This window comes from Homo sapiens, chromosome 3 (genome assembly GCF_000001405.40).
Source record: "Homo sapiens chromosome 3, GRCh38.p14 Primary Assembly".
Taxonomy (NCBI): Eukaryota; Metazoa; Chordata; class Mammalia; order Primates; family Hominidae; genus Homo; species Homo sapiens.
Window position 1 is genome coordinate 191151524 of NC_000003.12, and position 18495 is coordinate 191170018.

The 18495-nt window shown below is 33.6% G+C and overlaps 1 long non-coding RNA gene across 1 annotated transcript, besides 2 other annotated features; it reads left to right on the forward strand.

Moving 5' to 3' along the window:
- Window positions 2278–2447: an enhancer, noted in NCBI's record as "experimental_66920 CRE fragment used in MPRA reporter constructs". NCBI's record gives its function as "activates a minimal promoter by MPRAs in K562 erythroleukemia cells, with activity observed for both the introgressed and non-introgressed 3:190871675 variant alleles {active_cell/tissue: K562}" and the evidence as "EXISTENCE:reporter gene assay evidence [ECO:0000049][PMID:34662402]".
- LOC107986171 (uncharacterized) lies at window positions 4630–17499 on the forward strand. The gene is made up of 3 exons (XR_001741070.2): window positions 4630–4965; window positions 6690–6966; window positions 16980–17499. It is a non-coding gene; the product is annotated as an uncharacterized LOC107986171 (long non-coding RNA).
- Window positions 6319–7518: an enhancer, noted in NCBI's record as "MED14-independent group 3 enhancer chr3:190875631-190876830 (GRCh37/hg19 assembly coordinates)". NCBI's record gives its function as "activates an origin of replication core promoter dependent on BRD2, BRD4, P300/CBP and CDK7 cofactors, and independent of MED14, by STARR-seq in HCT116 cells {active_cell/tissue: HCT116}" and the evidence as "EXISTENCE:reporter gene assay evidence [ECO:0000049][PMID:35650434]".
- Window positions 17500–18495: the final 996 nt, after the last annotated feature.

The window sequence follows — 18495 nt, forward strand, 5'->3', positions numbered from 1 at the left end:
TTGGGATATATCAAAAAGCACAGGAGTTTTAAAAATATTATGAAACTAGTTCAATAACTAGACCAATAAAACCTGAGTGAGAACTTAGAAAAACATTAATGCACATGTGAAATAAAGTGGAGTAGAATGCTGGGGTTAAGGGCATAGATAACAGAGCTAGACTGCTTATATCCCAAAACATGGTTCTAGTACTTATTTATGTGACCTTGGCCTAGTACTCACCATTCTGTGCTTCAGTTTTCTGTTCTCTAAAATAAGAATTAAAAACAGTATCTTCTTTATTTGGTTGTTGTAAGAACCAGTTGAGTATAGTACTCAGAACAGTAGTTGGCATAGGGTAGGTTCTCCATAAAGATTAGTCATTATCAGAGACCTGTGTTGAGAGGCTGTGTCTCAAAGGATGTTAAATTCCGTCAAGTGCTTTTTTTGAATCTGTTGAGATAATAATATGCTTGTTATCCTTCATTTTGTTAATGTGCTATATCTCATTAATTAATTTGCATTTGTTGAATCATCCTTGTATCCCAGGGAGAAACACTGCTTGATTATGGCATGTGAGCCTTTTATGTGATGTTTAATTTTGTTTGCTAGTATTCTCTTGAGGATTTTTGCATCTATATTTATCAAAGATATTAGCCTATAATTTTCTTTTCTTGTACTGCCCTTGTCTAGTTTTGGTATCAGGATACTGATGGCCTTGTAAAATGAGTTTAGAAATATTTACTCTTCTTTAATATTTTGGAAGAGCTTGAGAAGAATTGGTACTATGTCTTCTTAAATTGTTTGGTAGAATTTACCAGTGAAGTAATCTGGTCCTGGGCTTTTATTTACTGAGAGATTCTTGATTAAATCTTCTTCCTTATTATTGGTCTGTTCAGATTTTCTATTTCTTTATGATTCAGCTTTAGTAGGTTGTATTTTTCTAGGAATGTGTCTTTATTTTCTATGTTATGCAATTTGTTGGCGTATAATTGTTAATAGTATTCTCTTACTATTTTTTTCCAGTAATATCATTTGTAACGTCTTCTCTCTCTCCCTTTTTCTTTTCACTCTTTTTTCTTTTCTTTTCTTTTCTTTTTTGGAGAAGGAGTCTTGATCTGTGGCCCAGGCTGGAGTGCAGTGGCGTGATCAGGGCTCACTGCAACCACCACCTCCCAGGTTCAAGCAATTCTCCTGCCTCAGCCTCCTGAGGAGCCTTTTTTCTTAATCTAGCTAAAAGTTAGTAAATTTTGCTTACCTTTCCAAAGATAAACTCTTAATTTGGTTTACCATTTTTATTGGTCTCTGGTGTTTATTACATTTATTTCAGCCATAGTATTTGTTTTCCTTACAGTAATGTTCTTAATTTGGTTTACTATTTTTATTGGTCTCTGGTCTTTATTACATTTATTTCAGCCATAATATTTGTTTCTTTTTTTCCTCTACTAACCTTGGACTTGGTTCCTTAAAAGTTATGAGTTAGTTTGTTTATTATTTGTTTATTTATTTTGAGACGGAGTCTTGCTCTTGTTGCCCAGACTAGAGTGCAATGGCGCAATCTCGGCTCACTGCAACCTCCACCTCCTGGGTTCAAGCAATTCTCCTGCCTCAGCCTCCCAAGTAGCTGGGATTACAGACATATGCCACCACACCTGGCTAATTTTTGTATTTTTAGTATAGACAGAGTTTCCCCATGTTGGCCAGACTGGTCTCAAACTCCTGACCTCAGGTGATCCACCCTCCTCAGCCTCCTAGAGTTCTGGGTATACAAGCGTGAGCCACCGCACACGGCCATTAGAGTTTTTTCTTAATGTGTGATAAGTATCTATCACTATAAAATTCCTTGTAGAACTGTTTTTGCTGCATGTCCTAAGTTTGGTATATTGTGTTTCTATTTTTGTTTTTCTCAAGGTATTTTTAAATTTCCCTTTTGATTTCTTCTTTGACCCATTAGTTGAGGAGTATGTTGTTTACTTTCCACATATGTGTGAATTTTTAAGTTTTCCTCCTATTATTGATTTCTAGCTTCCTACCATTGTGGTTGAAAAATATAAGCTTGATATGATTTCAGTCTTCTTAAATTTGCTAAGACTTGTTTTGTGGTTTAACAAATGAACTATCCTGGAGAATATTCTGTGCACACTAGAGAAGATGTGTATTGTCCTGCTGCTGGATAGAATGTTCTGTATATGTCTGACAGGGTCATTTGGTTTAAAGTGTAGTTCAAGTCCATTGTTTCTTTTTTTTATTTTCTGTCTAGATAATCTATCCATTGTTAAAAATAGGGTATTTACTTTTCCTACATTACTGTATTGCTGTTTATTTTTCCCTTCAGTTATGTTAGTATTTGATTTTTATAGTTGGTTGTTCTGATGTTAAGTTCATATATGTATTTATAATTCCACATTCTTTTGATGAAATGCCTACTTTATTATTATGTAATGACCCTCTTTGTCTCTTATTATAGTTTTTTATTTAAAGTTTATTTTGTCTTGTGTAATATATCCACCCCTTCTCTATTTCTATTTCCATTGACATGGCATCTCTTTTTTCTTCACTTCACTTTCATCCTATGTGTGTCCTTAAAGCTGAAGTGAGTTTCCTGTAGTCGACATATAGTTGGGCCTTGTTTTCTTTTATTCGTTCAGTTACTCCATGTCACTTTCTGAGAGAATTTAATTAAAGTAATCAAAAATAGGCAAGAACTTACTACTAACAAAATCAATTTTGTTAATTTTGTTCTGGCTGTTTTTAGTTCCTTTGTTTCTTTCTCCCTCTCTTGCTGTCATCCTTTTTTTATTTAGTGATTGTCTCCAATGGTATGCTTTGTTTCCTTTCTGCTTATCTTTTTGTATCTACTACAGATTTTTGCCTTTTTGTATCTACTATAGATTTTTTTATCTACTATAGATTTTTGCGTTCTGTATCTACTGTAGATTTTTCATCTATAGTAGATTTTACCATGAGGCTAACATAAAACATCTTATAGCTATAACAGTGTATTTGAAGCTGTTAACAACTTAATTTTGATTGCATACAAAATTCTACACTTTTACACCCCTCTCCACATTTTGTTTCTGATGTCACAATTTACATTTTTTATACTGTGTATCTATTAACAAGCTATTGTAGTTACTGTTATTTTTAATACTTTGTATTTTAACTTTTATACCAGAGTTAAAAGTGATTTACACACCACCATTACAGTATTAGAGTATTCTGAATTTGGAAATATTTGTATTTACTTTTACCAATGAGTTTTATACTTTGATATGTTGCAATGATACACATTCCTCTTTTTGGCATGAAGAATGCCTTTTAGCATTTTTTTCATGGCAGATCTAATGGTGATAAACTCTCTCAGCTTTTTTTTTTTTTTTTTTTTTTTTGGTCTGGAAAACTATATCTTCTTCATTTCTGAAAAACAGATTTTCTGCATAAAATATTTTTGGTTGGTTGGTTGTTCTTTCAGCACTTTGAATATAGCATCACTCTCTCCTTGCCTGTTAAGTGCCTCCTGAGAAATCTTCAGATAGTCTTATTAAGTTTCCCTTGTATGTGATGAATCTTTTTTTCTCTTGCTGTTTTAAATATTCTTTGTCTTTGATTTTTGACACTTTTCTTATGATATTTCTTGGTAAACTCATCTTTGGATTGATCTTGTGTGGAAACTTTTGAGCTTCATGTGCTTGAATGTCTACATTTTTTCTCTTATTTGGAAAGTTTTCAGCCATTTTTCAAAAATAAGATTTCTTTCCCATTCTGTCTCTTTTCTCCAGATTCTTTCTTCTTCTTAGTAACATCTGCTCTTGATCATCTCTATTGCATTTTTATTCTATTCATTGTGTTCTTCAGGTCCAAAATTTCTGGGTTCTTTAAATGATAAACTTCTCATTTGTTCATGTATTGTTTTCCTGATGTTATTGAACCTGTGTTCTCTTGTAGCTCACTGAACTTCCTTAAAGCAATTATTTTGAATTGTCAGGTACTTCATAGATCTCCATTTCTTCAAGCTCAGTTACTGAAAAATTATTGCATTTGTCTAGTAGTGTCATGTTTCCTTGATGTTTCATGTTCCTTGTAGAATTGGGATACTTTTGCATTTGAAGAAATCATATCCTCTAGTTTTTAATTACTGGCTTTGGGAGAAAAACACCTTCACAGTCAACCCTACTAGGAATTCTGGGGTTCCCTAAGACCTTTCCTATAAATGTATTCCCTACACAACTCTTCTTCCCTCTTGGAGTTGGAGGTGGGGGCAATTCTTATGATTATATGACTTCTCTTGATCCTGAAAAGTCATTCTGGGTGCTGATAGCCACCTATTTGTTTTTCCTAGAGTGGCCTCCTAAAATGTCCAAGTTTGTGTGCCTCCTCACAATTCTGCAGAGTTGAACCAGGTGTCTTCCCATGTCTATGAGCCATCTGCAGAGGCTTGCACTAACATTTTAGGGGAGCTTACATAGGAAGCTTGCCACAGTGTAGCATGGGTAAGACACATGAAGCATTAGGGTGTTCTTGGGCCATTTGAGTCCATCTACAGGTGAAGAATTCCAAGTGGCTCATCCCAAAAGGCTGTTTGGGTGTCTGAAGTAGTTAGTAGAATCCAAAATCCATTTTTGGGTTCTGAGTCCTCATTTTTATAATTGCCTATCTCTCGTCCCTGAACCCAGTCTCTCCTCACCACTCCACTGTGCCAGTCACCCCAGTGTTCTGCGTACGGTGAGAAAAAAGTGGGCCTTTTGGGCAGCGCTCCACTTATCTGTGGAAGCTAAGTGCTTTTTCACTATTCTCTCACTTTCCCATATGGGTGAAATCATGGGCTGAAAAGTCTTTTATTTGTATCACATTGTCCTGTTTTAGGGAGGGGTTAATGCAAATGAAGTGAAACTGTTTTTCTTACTCTTTTTCAATATGTCTATTCCTGGATTTTTTGTTCCAGCTCTGTGCTGAACTTTTCTGCTGGATTCCTGGACTCTTACAAAGGTATTCTCATCTGTAGGTGGTTGTCAAAATTTATGCTTCTGTTGGAGATTGCAGTAGAAAATTTTTATTCTGCCACTTTGCTTTTGTCATTCAAATAATTATGGTTAGTGAAGAAGATATAAAGGGATATATCTTTATGATAAATAACTACCTCTCATTAAGAATTAAGATGATGAAAGCAAGCATAGAATGTAGGAAGGCGTATGTGTACACATCCTCATTCTTTCAAATGGAGAGATAATAAATTTCAAAGCTTATAAATTAGGAAATAGTTTTATAAATGCAATCAGAACACAGCTATCTAAATTGCAAAAAAAAGAAACATGAAAACCAAAGCATGCTAAAGAAAGCAAATGCAATCTATAAAGGAGATCAAAAGAAGCCCTGAAAACAAAGTCAAATATAAAATTATTAGTTCTAAATATAGAAAATGTGCTGAATTTCCAAAGCCCACCATTCATATTTTTAATACACTTTCCAGCTCACATTTTCTGTCTGTGACATACTATTGTTTCCTATTCCCAAGAGCTGGTTTAATATTTGATTCACCTTTGTGTCCAGTTCCATGCATACAGTAGGCATTACAAAATTTAAAAATGCTCAATTTATAATGAATATATGAGAGAACTTACAAAAAGATCATGGAAAATGTAATTAATAGATACAAATTAAAAAAACTAAACTTTACTTCTCAACATAAACTCCATCTAAGTCAACACACTTTTGTAAGTGATCATCCCAGTGACTTAGTTCACCCCTAAAGAACTGAGGGCCCTGGGAAGGTCACCATGTCAATACAGTCTATTTTACATTATTAACATAATTTACATAATTATAAATGGGTGCCCTCTAAAGATTCTTTTAAAAGATTTTTAAGATTAGGAAACAAAAAGAAGTCAGAAGGAGCTGAATCAGGCCAGGGATAATTGTGTAAGCTGAACCACTTGAGATGTCTATGGTGTTGGCTATTGTTTTTGCTGTTAATCATCAATCCTCTTCAATTAGGACATGAAGATTAATTTTTTCTTGCAAATTGATGTGGATGGTCTGCTGCTGTGAGCTTCATCTTCAACATCATCTCATCCCTTCTTAAAATGAATTATCTGTCTGTTAACTGCTGATTTCTTTGGGACATTGTCCCCATAAACTTTTTGTAAAGAACTAATGATTTCACCATTCCTCCACTCAAACTTATGCAAACCTTTGATGTTTGTTCTTGCTTCAATTTTAGCAGAATTTGTGTTGCTGTCTGACAGGGGCTCTTTTTAAGTTGGTGTCTTATCCTTAGTGCCACAAATGAGATCCTGTTCAGACATGTTAAGACAAGTTAGTACAAGTTTATTTTGTTGCCAAAAAAAAAAATGAAATACATGCATAGTGTTTTTATACTATGCATTTTTAATGAACTTTGAAGACACCTCATATGTATTTAGAAGCCTAGGTAAAGGAAAGTGAAAGATTTTTTAAATACCATTCAAAGTTCATTGATTCTACCTTTTATGACAATATGATTTTGAGGAGGTTTGAAGAACGGTTAAGAATAATGCATTAAGCTTTACCTGCTTGGCCTGAGGAATTCAGTTTAGAGGCTTAGAAAAAAACACACACACACACAAAATGGCACACTCAAACTGGAAATTAGAAGAGGGTTTTATAAAGCCTTTCTTTTGGCAATACTATGTTTTCTGTGTAGGAAAACTGTAACAAACTGCTCACTACCCTAGGACTACTAACAATGAAGCACTGCTACCATCCGGAGCCTACTGAGAGTGAAGTGAAGAAATAGTTTTCCAAAGAGAGAGAGAGAGAGAAGTCTACCTGACAGAAATTGTGACCTTCCATCCAGAAAGTCAGCATTTAACAATCCTTGTGAAAGACTGAATAGGAGAATAACACTCTGACTTCACTCCCCTCACACTCACCAAACTCGTGGAAGTGTCTTGTATTGGTTAAACAACTGAATGCTAGAAGACAAAGGAGCCAATTGATTCAGCTTACAAGGTGAGCCTCCCTGAGCAAAGTGCAGATAGAAAAAGCTGGGTAGAGATTCTGGAAGGACAAACAGATTTCAGCACAAAGACTTTACTTCTTATAACTGGGAGGATAAGGTTTATGTCAATTTTTTCCATGGTATTCAGATAAAGATGTATTGTATTAATAAATGCAATGTGTTGATTCTGAGCTTCTGTTTGATCCATAATTATAGCCTCTGCCTTCTTTATATCAAATATCTTTTCAAATAAAAATGAAAAATGACATTCTCCACTCTCAGATAAAGGATTCTCAGTCACAGATCTTATTTTGTTTTCCCTGAGTTAGAAAATTGGGTTTATAATCTAGTTTCTGGTCAATACAAAATAAGTCATGAATAACTGAGTTTTCTATTCTGCAACAATTTTCTGACCATGCAATTCTCAGTGTAGCAAAGATGAATTTATTTCTCTGCAAAGCAGAGCCAAAGAAATAGCTGAAGAGTGTCTTCTCTCTTGGCTTCTAGAGAAGCCAGTCCTTTGGTGCCAAATATTACATGACCCTTTTTACCACATCATTAATAAGGACAGATGTTTTGAATTGAGGATCAAACAAAAGCCAAAATATGCTCTTGACCTTAAAGGACAGGATGAAACTCCACTGTACTATAATGCTTTTTTTTTCATCCGAAGACATTATTTTGGTGTGCATTCTTTCTGTTACAAATCTGTCAAGCAAATTAAAATGCTTTCTTAGTCTCTCTTAACTAGTTAAATTTGAGCTCTGTAGAACTATTATCAACTGCTCTTAAGACAGTATAACATAGATGAGATTCTCATCAATGAATTGAACTTTAGGTCTCGGGTTAAAAGGAGGTAGAATGCCGTGATATATTTTCATAACCTCTTTTATTTTTATAAAATTCACATAAAACATGCCAGATAATGGTTCTTCATGGTAAAGTTTGGGGTTTATAATATGTTTTTATATTCTAGTCAATTTATTTTCCCACTTACACAATCATGATTTCAAACATTCAGTTCTCTACTCCCATACCTACCTTCTTATTCTCAGAAGAGTTAAGAGATGCCTGAAGAGCTCCACTTAGATGTCACATTGGTACCTAAAATTTTTTATTTCTTCTTTAAATATTCCTTTCCTCTGAGATTTTCTGTTTCATCAAATGGCATACCTATCATCCAGTTTCCAAAGCAGAAATCTGGGAGTTTATTGAATTACCACTATTCATTACACATCCCACCACATCTGCAATTGCCATAGATTGGGTTCCCTAAGAAGCAAACTCTGAAGCACAAATTAGTATACACAAGTTTACTAGGAAGTACCCTTGGGATCAACAGCTGTGGAAGGGGGAAAATATGCAGTATTGGGTAAAGGGAAAAGTTGAGTTGAGATGCAGTCTCAATGGAAGTCTCAGCTAACCCCACGTTTATTCCTGAAAAGACAGCTATAACTTCATGATGAATTGTCATTCAATATGTGCCACTCCAGGAAGGTGTGCAATCTCAGGAAAGAGATTTTTCCAGCTAAAGGTGAGGCTTTTTAGCAGCAACATTCCCTGAAGTGTGAATTTCACTGATATGGCATCCACTGTACCAATAAATCACCTTATCCTATCATTTCATTTCTTAAATTGCCCTCAAGTCAATCCACTACTTTGTGTCTCTACTTCCACTATCCTAGTTCAAGTCATTAACATCTTCCCCATAATGTCAACTTTATAAAGGGTGTCATTGTATCCAGTATATTTCCCTTGTAATTTATTTTCTGCCCAGCTGTGTAATCTTTATAAATCACTTATTGAACCATCTCTCTCTGCTTAAAACTCCCATTGCTGTTACCATAAAACATCAGTTCCTTATTATGACCAGTAAGGCTCTAAAAATCTTTTCTCTGCATGCCTCTTCTTTAACATCCTGAAACCACTTACCTCCTCTCAAGCTATCCTCTGGCAATAACTGCCTCCCGTGAGCCTCTAAATGTTGGTTGTATACATCACTTATCTTTTATGTTTATTTCCTCTATCATCAAACTTTCCTAAAAAAGAAAAGAACTTTCCTGTTATAAAAATGTTTTACAATTTTCTACCACTATTATTTTAATTTGTACAAATTGCTTGCTAAATAGCCTCTTAAAGACAGAATCAACATGGCCCAGTATATGGCACATGTTAATAAATGTTAATAAATTTGTTGATTGAATGTATGAGTGTTATCTAAAGTAATTGCCTAAGTTGATATAGGAGAATATGCCAACATTTCTGAATCATTGATAAGTGTAATGCAATAATATTTCCATCCTAATTTGATAATATAATTTTTTAAGCTTTTCATTTTTCTGCAAGAAAATTAAGCCAATTTATAATAATTGCTTATAACAGTGTGTTCTCAGGTAGACTTCTGTTTGTATATCAATATATTATCTACTGTACCAGGTTGACTGAATGGTATTTTTACATTGTAAAGACATAATCTTATACCTTCTTCAATAACCATAATTAAAAGATCACACTGGAATAATATGCAGAAATACTGCTATGAAGGAAAGTAGAAACAGTGAACTCATTTTGAGAATGTATCAGTTTTCTACTACTGCCCTGTGAAACTTAATGGCTTAAAACAATACGAATTCATCATTCTTTAGTTCGATAGGTCAGGAGTCAGACATAAATCCCACTGAGCTAAAATTAAGGTATTTGGCATGGCTGTATTTATTTCTCGAAGCTCTTGGATGTTTTCTTTCCATTTCCAATTTCCATGGGCCTCATACAGTCTTTGGCTCACAGGCTCTTCTTCTACCCTCAAAGCCAGCAACGCCAGGTTAATTCATTCTTACATTGTATCTCTCTGACTAGCCACATCTGGGAAAAATTCTCTGTTTTTAACAGCTTACAATTAATTTAGACCCTCCCAGATAATCCAGGGTAATCTCTTATTATAGTCTGTGCCCCTACTCAAGTTTGCAAAATACTTTTTGACATGTAAAATAAATATTTACAAGTTTCATAAGATTATGGTATCAGCATCTTTCAGTAGTCATTACTCTACCTAATACTACCTGAGGTGGTTCTTAGAAAGATAGTCTAGTAATATTAATTTAGTAATATTTTAATAATCAAAGAATTTTTAATTTAGACTTTTTTAGTCAAATATTTAAATTAAAATTTAAACAAGTAACATTTGAACAAATAAGTATATATAAATATGTTTATATTTACTGTAAATAAATACATATATTTACTGTATATGTAAATTTTATGCTAACATATACTGTTGACTTCAAATTATAGGAGATCCTTATTATCCAAAGTACTTAAAACGAATCCTTTTAAGTGGGAAACATACACTAATAAATAATAAAAATCAAGTTTAATAATTTATCTTTTTAAAAAATCTAAAATTCATTTGAATTTATTTCATTTCCAATTTAACAATGTAAACTATACTTGTAATTAGATGGTTGTTCTTAGAAATAAAAAATGAAGCAAGCATCATTTTTTTTTTTTTTTTTTAGGCAGAGTCTCACTCTGTCAGCCAGGTTGTAGTGCAGTGGTGTGGTCGCGGCTCACCTCAACCTCTGCCTCCCAGGTTCAAGCAATTCTCCTGCCTCAGCCTCCTGAGTAGCTGGGATTACAGGCATGCATCACCACACTCGGCTAATTTTTGTATTTTTAGGAGAGATGGGGTTTCACCCTGTTGGCCAGGCTGGTCTCGAACTCCTGACCTCAACTGATCTGCCCATCTTGGCCTCTCAAAGTGCTGGGATTACAAGCATGAGCCACCGCACCCAGCCACATCATGCTTTTTAAAAGTAATTTTTCAGCTAAACTGTACTATAGCATGATACAACATCCTGTACATTGACTGCTCAAAGTAGTATGAGAAAGAACAGCATCTTGCTAATTAATAGCCCATTTCTCATTAAGGCGTATTAGTTAATTTAGATAAAGCTTTCTACTAAAAATAACTAGAGAAGCTAGAATAGGTAGAGAGGTAGACATGTAGATAGACAGATAGATGATAGATAGATAGATAGATAGATAGATAGATAGATAGATAGACAGACAGGCAGACAGATCTATTGGAGAGTTTTTGGCAAGCTAACAAAATAATGAAAAAATGCCTGTTTGATGTAAGAAAAAGGAAAATGAGGCTGTGGACAGTGATCCCAACATTTGAAACACTGCCTATGGGGCTATCTGCCAAAAGCTCCTAAGAGAAAGATAATCTGAGTCACACTTATGACAATCTTATAAGGCTGAATGGATAAAAATTAGAATTGAGGATCTGCTAACATGTCAGGTTGCTGGTAAGCCTCTGCATATTTTTGGTTCAAATTTGGAAACAATATATCCCAGGAGAAAGTGTGAACTGGATGAATATAGACTGGTACTTTCAGGGACTACAGATCAACTTCAAATAATCTTCAAATGATCTAAAAATGTTTTAAATAAACATAAGCCAAAACAGCCAGGAACACATAAAGACAAGACTACATGAAGGAAATGTAGCAGAAACAAAATAAAATAGAAGCTTACTGACAGGAGCTGTAAGTATTAGAGTTGCCAGATCTCCTCTGTATAACAGAGAAAAAAGTCTGTAACTGAAAGATATAAAAACTGAAATTGATAATTTAATGATAAGATTTAATGTAAGTTTATGTCTCTAAGTTTAGACATATGTCTGTAGGTTTAGACATAGCTGAAGAAACAATCAATGATGTTGAAGATGAGTCAGAGGAAACATACTAATTAGTCATGGAGGAAAAAGAATGGAAAAGGCAAAATAATTGAGTAAAACATAAGATATAGTGAGACAGTCTTACATAGGTACAATTGGAATCTCAGAAAAAGAAAAAAGAGAAAAAGAAGCAGCACCAATATGTAAAGAGATAAAGGATGAAAATTATCCAATGATGAAAGACAAAAGCATTCAAGAAATACTTTGAGATAAACAGCAAACTGTTTTATATTCATATCTTACTAATAATCCTGTAAATACCAGACAATAACAGTATGTAAAGGAAGCTAAAAACACACAAAAAAATTGAAAGGGCAACGATTTGACACAAAGCTAAATGCTCAAAAGAAATAATACATTTTTAAGTGTTATCTTTATAATACTGAAATAAAATAAATATGAATCAAGAATTCCATACTAAGAAAAATAATAAAATAAGGATCTCAAGTAATGTATGTGAAATAAATTTATCTTCGTATTAATAAAAATTGAGAATTTTTCCCAACAGACAAAATGAATTACAAGGAGTATTTTTCAAGAAGGAAAAGAATCTCAGATGAAAGATCAGAGATGTATGAGAAATGAAGAGCAATAAAAGCAATCAATATCAGGGTGAATATAAATAAACATTGACTATGCAAAATAATTACACTGTCTTAGGAATAATATATAATATATAATACATAGTCATATATAATATATGTAAAAAGAATTAAAATATATTACAACAATAAAAACAATAGCTAGAAATGTAGGGGTAAAAAGATTTAAAGTGTTATAAATTCCTTGTATTTTTTAAGCATAATGTAAAAACACCAATTAATATTGCATTAGTCAATAATATTGTATTCCCAAAGTAATACAAAGAGAATAATAAAAAAATAACTTTTACTTATGAGGTGAGAAAATAGAACCAAATAAACATAAATCTACACAAAAGATTATGAATATGAGGAATAAGAAAAGAGAGAGGATGGATAAATAGAAATCAAAATAGAAACATAATACATTTAAATACAAATATATCAATAATCATATTACCTACAACTAGACTGATTAAAGGAAATATATAACTGAATTTTAAAAGTGATACATGACTTACCAAAATGTCTAAACTATAAGAATACAATGAAGTTGAGGTTAAAGACTGGAAAAAGTGGTAGAATATGAACAATAACTGAAAAAAGTTTTTAAGTCTACCAGTATTGAAGTAAACTTTAATATAAAACACTATTATCAGAAATAAAGACAGACACATCAAATGGTAAAACATTAATCCATTAGGCTTGTATAGTATAAAGATATAAAAGACACATTTGTATATACCTAATGCCATTGTCTCAAAATGTATGAGAAAAAATAGGTAAATCCATATAGAGGGATATCTCAATACAGCTTAATCATGTACTAATAGAATAAGCGGAAAAAAATCAGTAAGGATGGGGAAAATTTGAACTATGACTAATAAACTTGACCTAATTGAAATATGTGGAACGCTGTGCCCTACACCTGCACAATACACATTCTTTCAATAAACACATGGAATATTCATAGACAATGACTAGCCAAAATAATTTAGTGTACATGTCTTGGCACGTTCTACTAAAGTTGAAGACATAAATACCTTACAACAAAGCAATTCCACTCAGTATGTATCAAAAAACGTATATACATATATGCACCAAAAGATATGCAAAATTGTTCGTAACAGCAATATTCACAATGGCCAAGAACTGGGAAAATCCCAACTGTTCATCAACAGAAGAGTGAATATTTATACAATGGAATACTACATGGTAATGAAAATAAATCACAGCTAAACATACCAACATATTAGAATATCACTCACCTAATGCTAATCAAAAGAACTCAGTCAAATACATACTGTATGTTTCCATGTTTAAGAAATTTTAAAAAATAAAGAGTAATGAAGGTAAAAGTAAAGAGTAATATTACAGATTAATATTATTGTTATGTTTGTTGAAAGGGAAGGGATAGTGAGGGGACATGAAATAGATGTTGGCAGCATTCCGTTTCTGGAACTGAGTGATGATTACATAGGTGTTCTTTGTGATCGTCGACCTCTGCAAATATGTTTTCTTTATGTTCTTTTCCATATGTGGGCTATAAATTAGAATTATATGTGGGAATGTATAATTATATATATACACATACATATACATATGTATATGTATACATTGTGTGTATAGTTGATCCTCAACACATGATGAAGTGACATCCCAGTAAAGTGATGAGTTGAAAATATTCTAAGTCAAAAATGGACTTAATACACTTAAACTACCAATAATCATGTCTTGAACTAACCTACCTTTAGTGTGCTCTTACATTAGCCTACAGTTGGGCAAAATCATCTAACACAAAGCCTATTTTATAATAAAATGTTCACTACCTCATGTACTTTATTGAATACTATACTGAAAGTGAAAAATAGAATGGTTGCATGGATATTCAAAGTATGGTTTCACTGAACATGTATTGCTTTTGCACCATTGTAAAGTTGAAAAATCATTAAGTTGAACTATTGCAAGTCAAGGCTCATCTGTGTGTGTGTGTGTGTGTGTGTGTGTGTGTGTGTGTGGTCAGAAATTAGAGTATGAAAAATATATACAGATTGAGAATCTCTAATCCAAAAAATCCAAAATTCTAAATACTCCCAAATTCTACACTTTTTGAGCACCAAGATGAAGCTACAGTGAGAAACTCCATACTTGGCCTTGGCCTCATGTGACCCGTCACAGCCAAAATGCAAATGCACAACACACAGTTTATTCAGTGTCTCCAAGGGAAAAAAATTAGCTTCAGGCTATGTGTGTGAGGTATACATAAAACATACATGAATTTTGTTTAGATTTGGATCCCATCCCCAAGATATACAGATATTCCAAAATCCAAAAAATAATCTGAAACACTTCTGGCTGCAAACATTTCAGAAAAGGGATACTCAACTTGTATCTAGTCAGATATTGAAGTATGAAAAATTTTAACTTTATTTCTGTAGTTGAATGCAATGTACTATCAAGTCCCTCTGACGACTGATAATAGACCACACTTGACCTTCACAAATAAAGGTATTTCATTCTCTTCTTTTTTAAAATAGTCTATTTTGGGTAGTTAGACTGGATATAGCACCAGCTGTCCTTCTTTGGCTCGGATGCCTCCTCTACAGAGCATTCAGAATCGCCTCTAAATTAACATTGAACAAAAATTTCAAGGATATAATACTGAACTGAACTAGTGTTAAAATAGTAAGCTCGATAACACACCTACATAACTGAGTTGTTCCTTATGTCAACTATTCATATGTAACTGTTCTATTTCCCCAAATCAGCATTTTTTTCCTTAAAAGCAAGATTCATACCTAACTCTTAGTTTTTGTTGTTTCTACTCTCTAAAATAATATACTCCATAAACCAGGCATTCACTAAATTTTTATGGATACTAACCATAGTCATAGGCTATTAAGGCAAAATAAGTTGGTGCAAAAGTAATTGCAGTTTTTGCCATTAGTTTTAAATGGCAAAACCATTACTTTTAAATGGCAAAAACTTCAATTACTTTTGTACCAACCTGATAATATCTTCATTTTGCATGAAAAGAAAATAAAATTAAATAAATTAAACTACTCATAGGAACACAGAGAGGAAATGAGAGTCAGTATTTAAATAAAGTGTGATTCCAAAACTAAGACTCTACCTACCAAGCTCTGTACATTCCCTAAATAAAAACATTATTTTAGATTAACCTGAAGGTCCATTAGATTCTATGCATTTTTTGTATAATTTCGTAGCTTTATAAAAAGAACAATGTATTTTAAAATTATATTTAAAATATGATAATTTTATTGTGAATACGTGTACTGAGATTATCTAAAGCAGAGATCGGCAAACTACAGCCTTAAGGCCAAATCTAGCCAGATTTCCATTTTTGTAAATGAAGTTTGACTGGGGCCTAGCCACTCCTGTTCATTCGTCTGTGGCTGCTTTAACAGAGTTGTGTACTTGCAACAGAGACTGCATGTCCCACAAAACCTAACCAATTACTCTCTGGCTCTTTATACGAAAAGTTGAGCGAGCCTATATAAGGATTCCAATATTTTTCAATAATGTTTATTGTGTACTCAGAATTTCCTAGACACCAAAATAAAAAATAAAACGGTGAATTTTATGATCAAGGTAAAAATAAATTATTTTTTATTCATGATGCTAAATTTGTCATTTGGATATTTATATATTATTTTGAATACCATAAAATAAAGAGGGATATATCCATCAGAGTCCAATCAGAAAATTAAAATCACAACAGACATTTGAACAAAAAAATTTAACATAAAGAATGGTTAAGTACTAGAAGTAAATGAGAATTCTTGTGAGGTGCAGAAGTGATAGCTGCAAAAAAAAGTAGTTACCACCTCTAGCCTGAGGAGCACACACAATAAAAGAACAAAGGATTAGAAGAAGGGCTCTGGCCCCAATGCTGAAATTCAGACCTCAGTATCATGGCACGGCTCCCACATGAACACACAAGTCTGCCCATGGCAAAGAAACCTGACAGAGAGTTCAGCCTAGAACTGGTCTGTGGAAACGGACTGCCAATGCAAAGAGGGGATAGGCCTGAGCTGATGTGTTTAATCACTGACTGAGCTGCTTGGAAGTGGTTTCTTCTAGGGAAATATGGTCTGAGGATAAAAGTGATGTTCCCTTGCTGAATAATAATAATGGATGATAAACCAGGAGGAAAGAGCCTTCCTTCCTCCATCACCTTGCAGCTTCACTCTTGCACTCTTTATTGATGAAGACTTAATTCCACTAGCTGTCAAGAACCACAATATTCAACTTCAGTACCATTAAGTGGGGCAAAGATGGGTGGATATGAATGTGAGCAACGATCGATTGGTATCTGGCATATTTGTGGAACAACAAGTTAATACAGCATACATGAATGTCTTCTATAACTTTTTTTAATGGACTCAATTAACATTTAGGTCATAAGTTTAGACTAGATTCAGGGAAGGCATTTTTCTGGCAGAAGGCTAAATTTTTGAGGAGCAGGCTATCTGCTTTTTCCTAATCTAAGTTGAAAATAAGATAGTGTTTAGAAATATAGAAGAGGGAGATGTATGTTGTTTAGAATAAAAAAATTTTAATTATAGTTTATTTTTCTCTAGAAAAAAATCATCTGAAAGAACAAATTAATCCCCTGAAAGGGACAGATGGTGTTATGATAGCATTATCAAATAATGCTCTCTGTTCTGCTTTTTTACAGGGTTGCGAATATTTCCAGGCCTCTTCAAACTCTACCAACCTAGTGTTTAGCATTTGCAAAGGGTGTCACGCATGTGCTCACAATAATATAATTTTTCTCAGTGATCACATATTATCTGACATTTTTATCCTCTATTGATCCAGACGAATGGAAAAAAGATTACTTCTGAGAATGCCAAAATCACCACGGAATGCCAAAACAGCCACTGCTCCCAGTGCCCAGGCCAAAATTGCTTGTGCCCATGAAGAAGATGACATGATGCCCATGTGTTGACAGAGTTGTCCATAAGTGCTAAAGCGTGACGTATTTCTCTTCTTTTATCTTGGCCCATTTGCTGGACGTTGTTGTCCACTTGGGCTACTGTGTTTACCACAATCATGAATTGCATATACACTGTGCGCCACATGTCTTTAACAGAGATTTAAGACTCAGATCTTTCTTTCTTCTTTTTTTTCTCTCCTTAGGACCTAAGTACATGTCTGCAAAAGGAGGGCCAAATAAAAGTTCTCTCTTCCAGTGAGATATGGACTTCTTATTTATACATGTCAACCTACTCTACTACTTGGAATTATTTCCCATAAAGCTCTTTGGTGTCTCATACACAGAAAGTCCAGGTAATTCTCCAATGTGGAGCCTCTAGGCATGTCCAAACATCTAAATCCTCTAGGGAGAATTAATGCCAAAATCTGTGAGCCCCTAATATATAAAAATCAAGTTTGTGTTTCCACCAGAAAAAAAAATGGAAATTTAACATTGCATCATGTGAATTCTTCCAGTCGCCTTACAAAAATCATGATTTATGTGTCTCTTTCTCTAACTGGTAGATTTCTGAAGAGTAGAATTTTCATTCTGAGTTTTCTAATCACTTTCTAAGCCCTTAACACAGTGTCTAGTACAAATAAGCATTTAGTTACCGTTTGTTTTTCAAATTTGCATAAAAATGACGTGGAGTAACAAGTCAAAAGATGTAAAGGAAAATCTAATGTTGTGTTCATATTATTAAGGCTAATCATTGTGCTCTAGTTTCTTCAAAATAACCAAGATAATTTACTTGATTCTAATCTGCCTTTCATGTATTAAAATGTAAAAAAAGAACCCTAAAGATCACCCCCTGTAATATGTGTGGAAATATTTCCTTAAACTATTATATTTGCAAGGTTTTCCACTTCTACACTAACATTTGGTAGCTGATGGAACACACAGGGCCAGTAATAGCAGTTGCTAATGGTAACATATCTTGAGGACAAACAGGAGGAAGATCCTGGGAAGCAGCATGGAGAAAATTGTAGAGTTACAGGGAGGATATCAAAGTAAAAATAGAATAATTTAGAAATCACCATCTTTCTTTGAATGGATATCCTGGCAGTCAAAGTCCCCAAACAGAAGCTGCTTGAGCCAAGACTTCCTTTGAAACCACTTCTATTTCATGGAAACTAATTTTTAAAATGCTCAGTGGTTTGGGAACATGAAGAGTCAGTTTACAAATCATCATCTACTTTGTGAAAAGAAAAGGAAA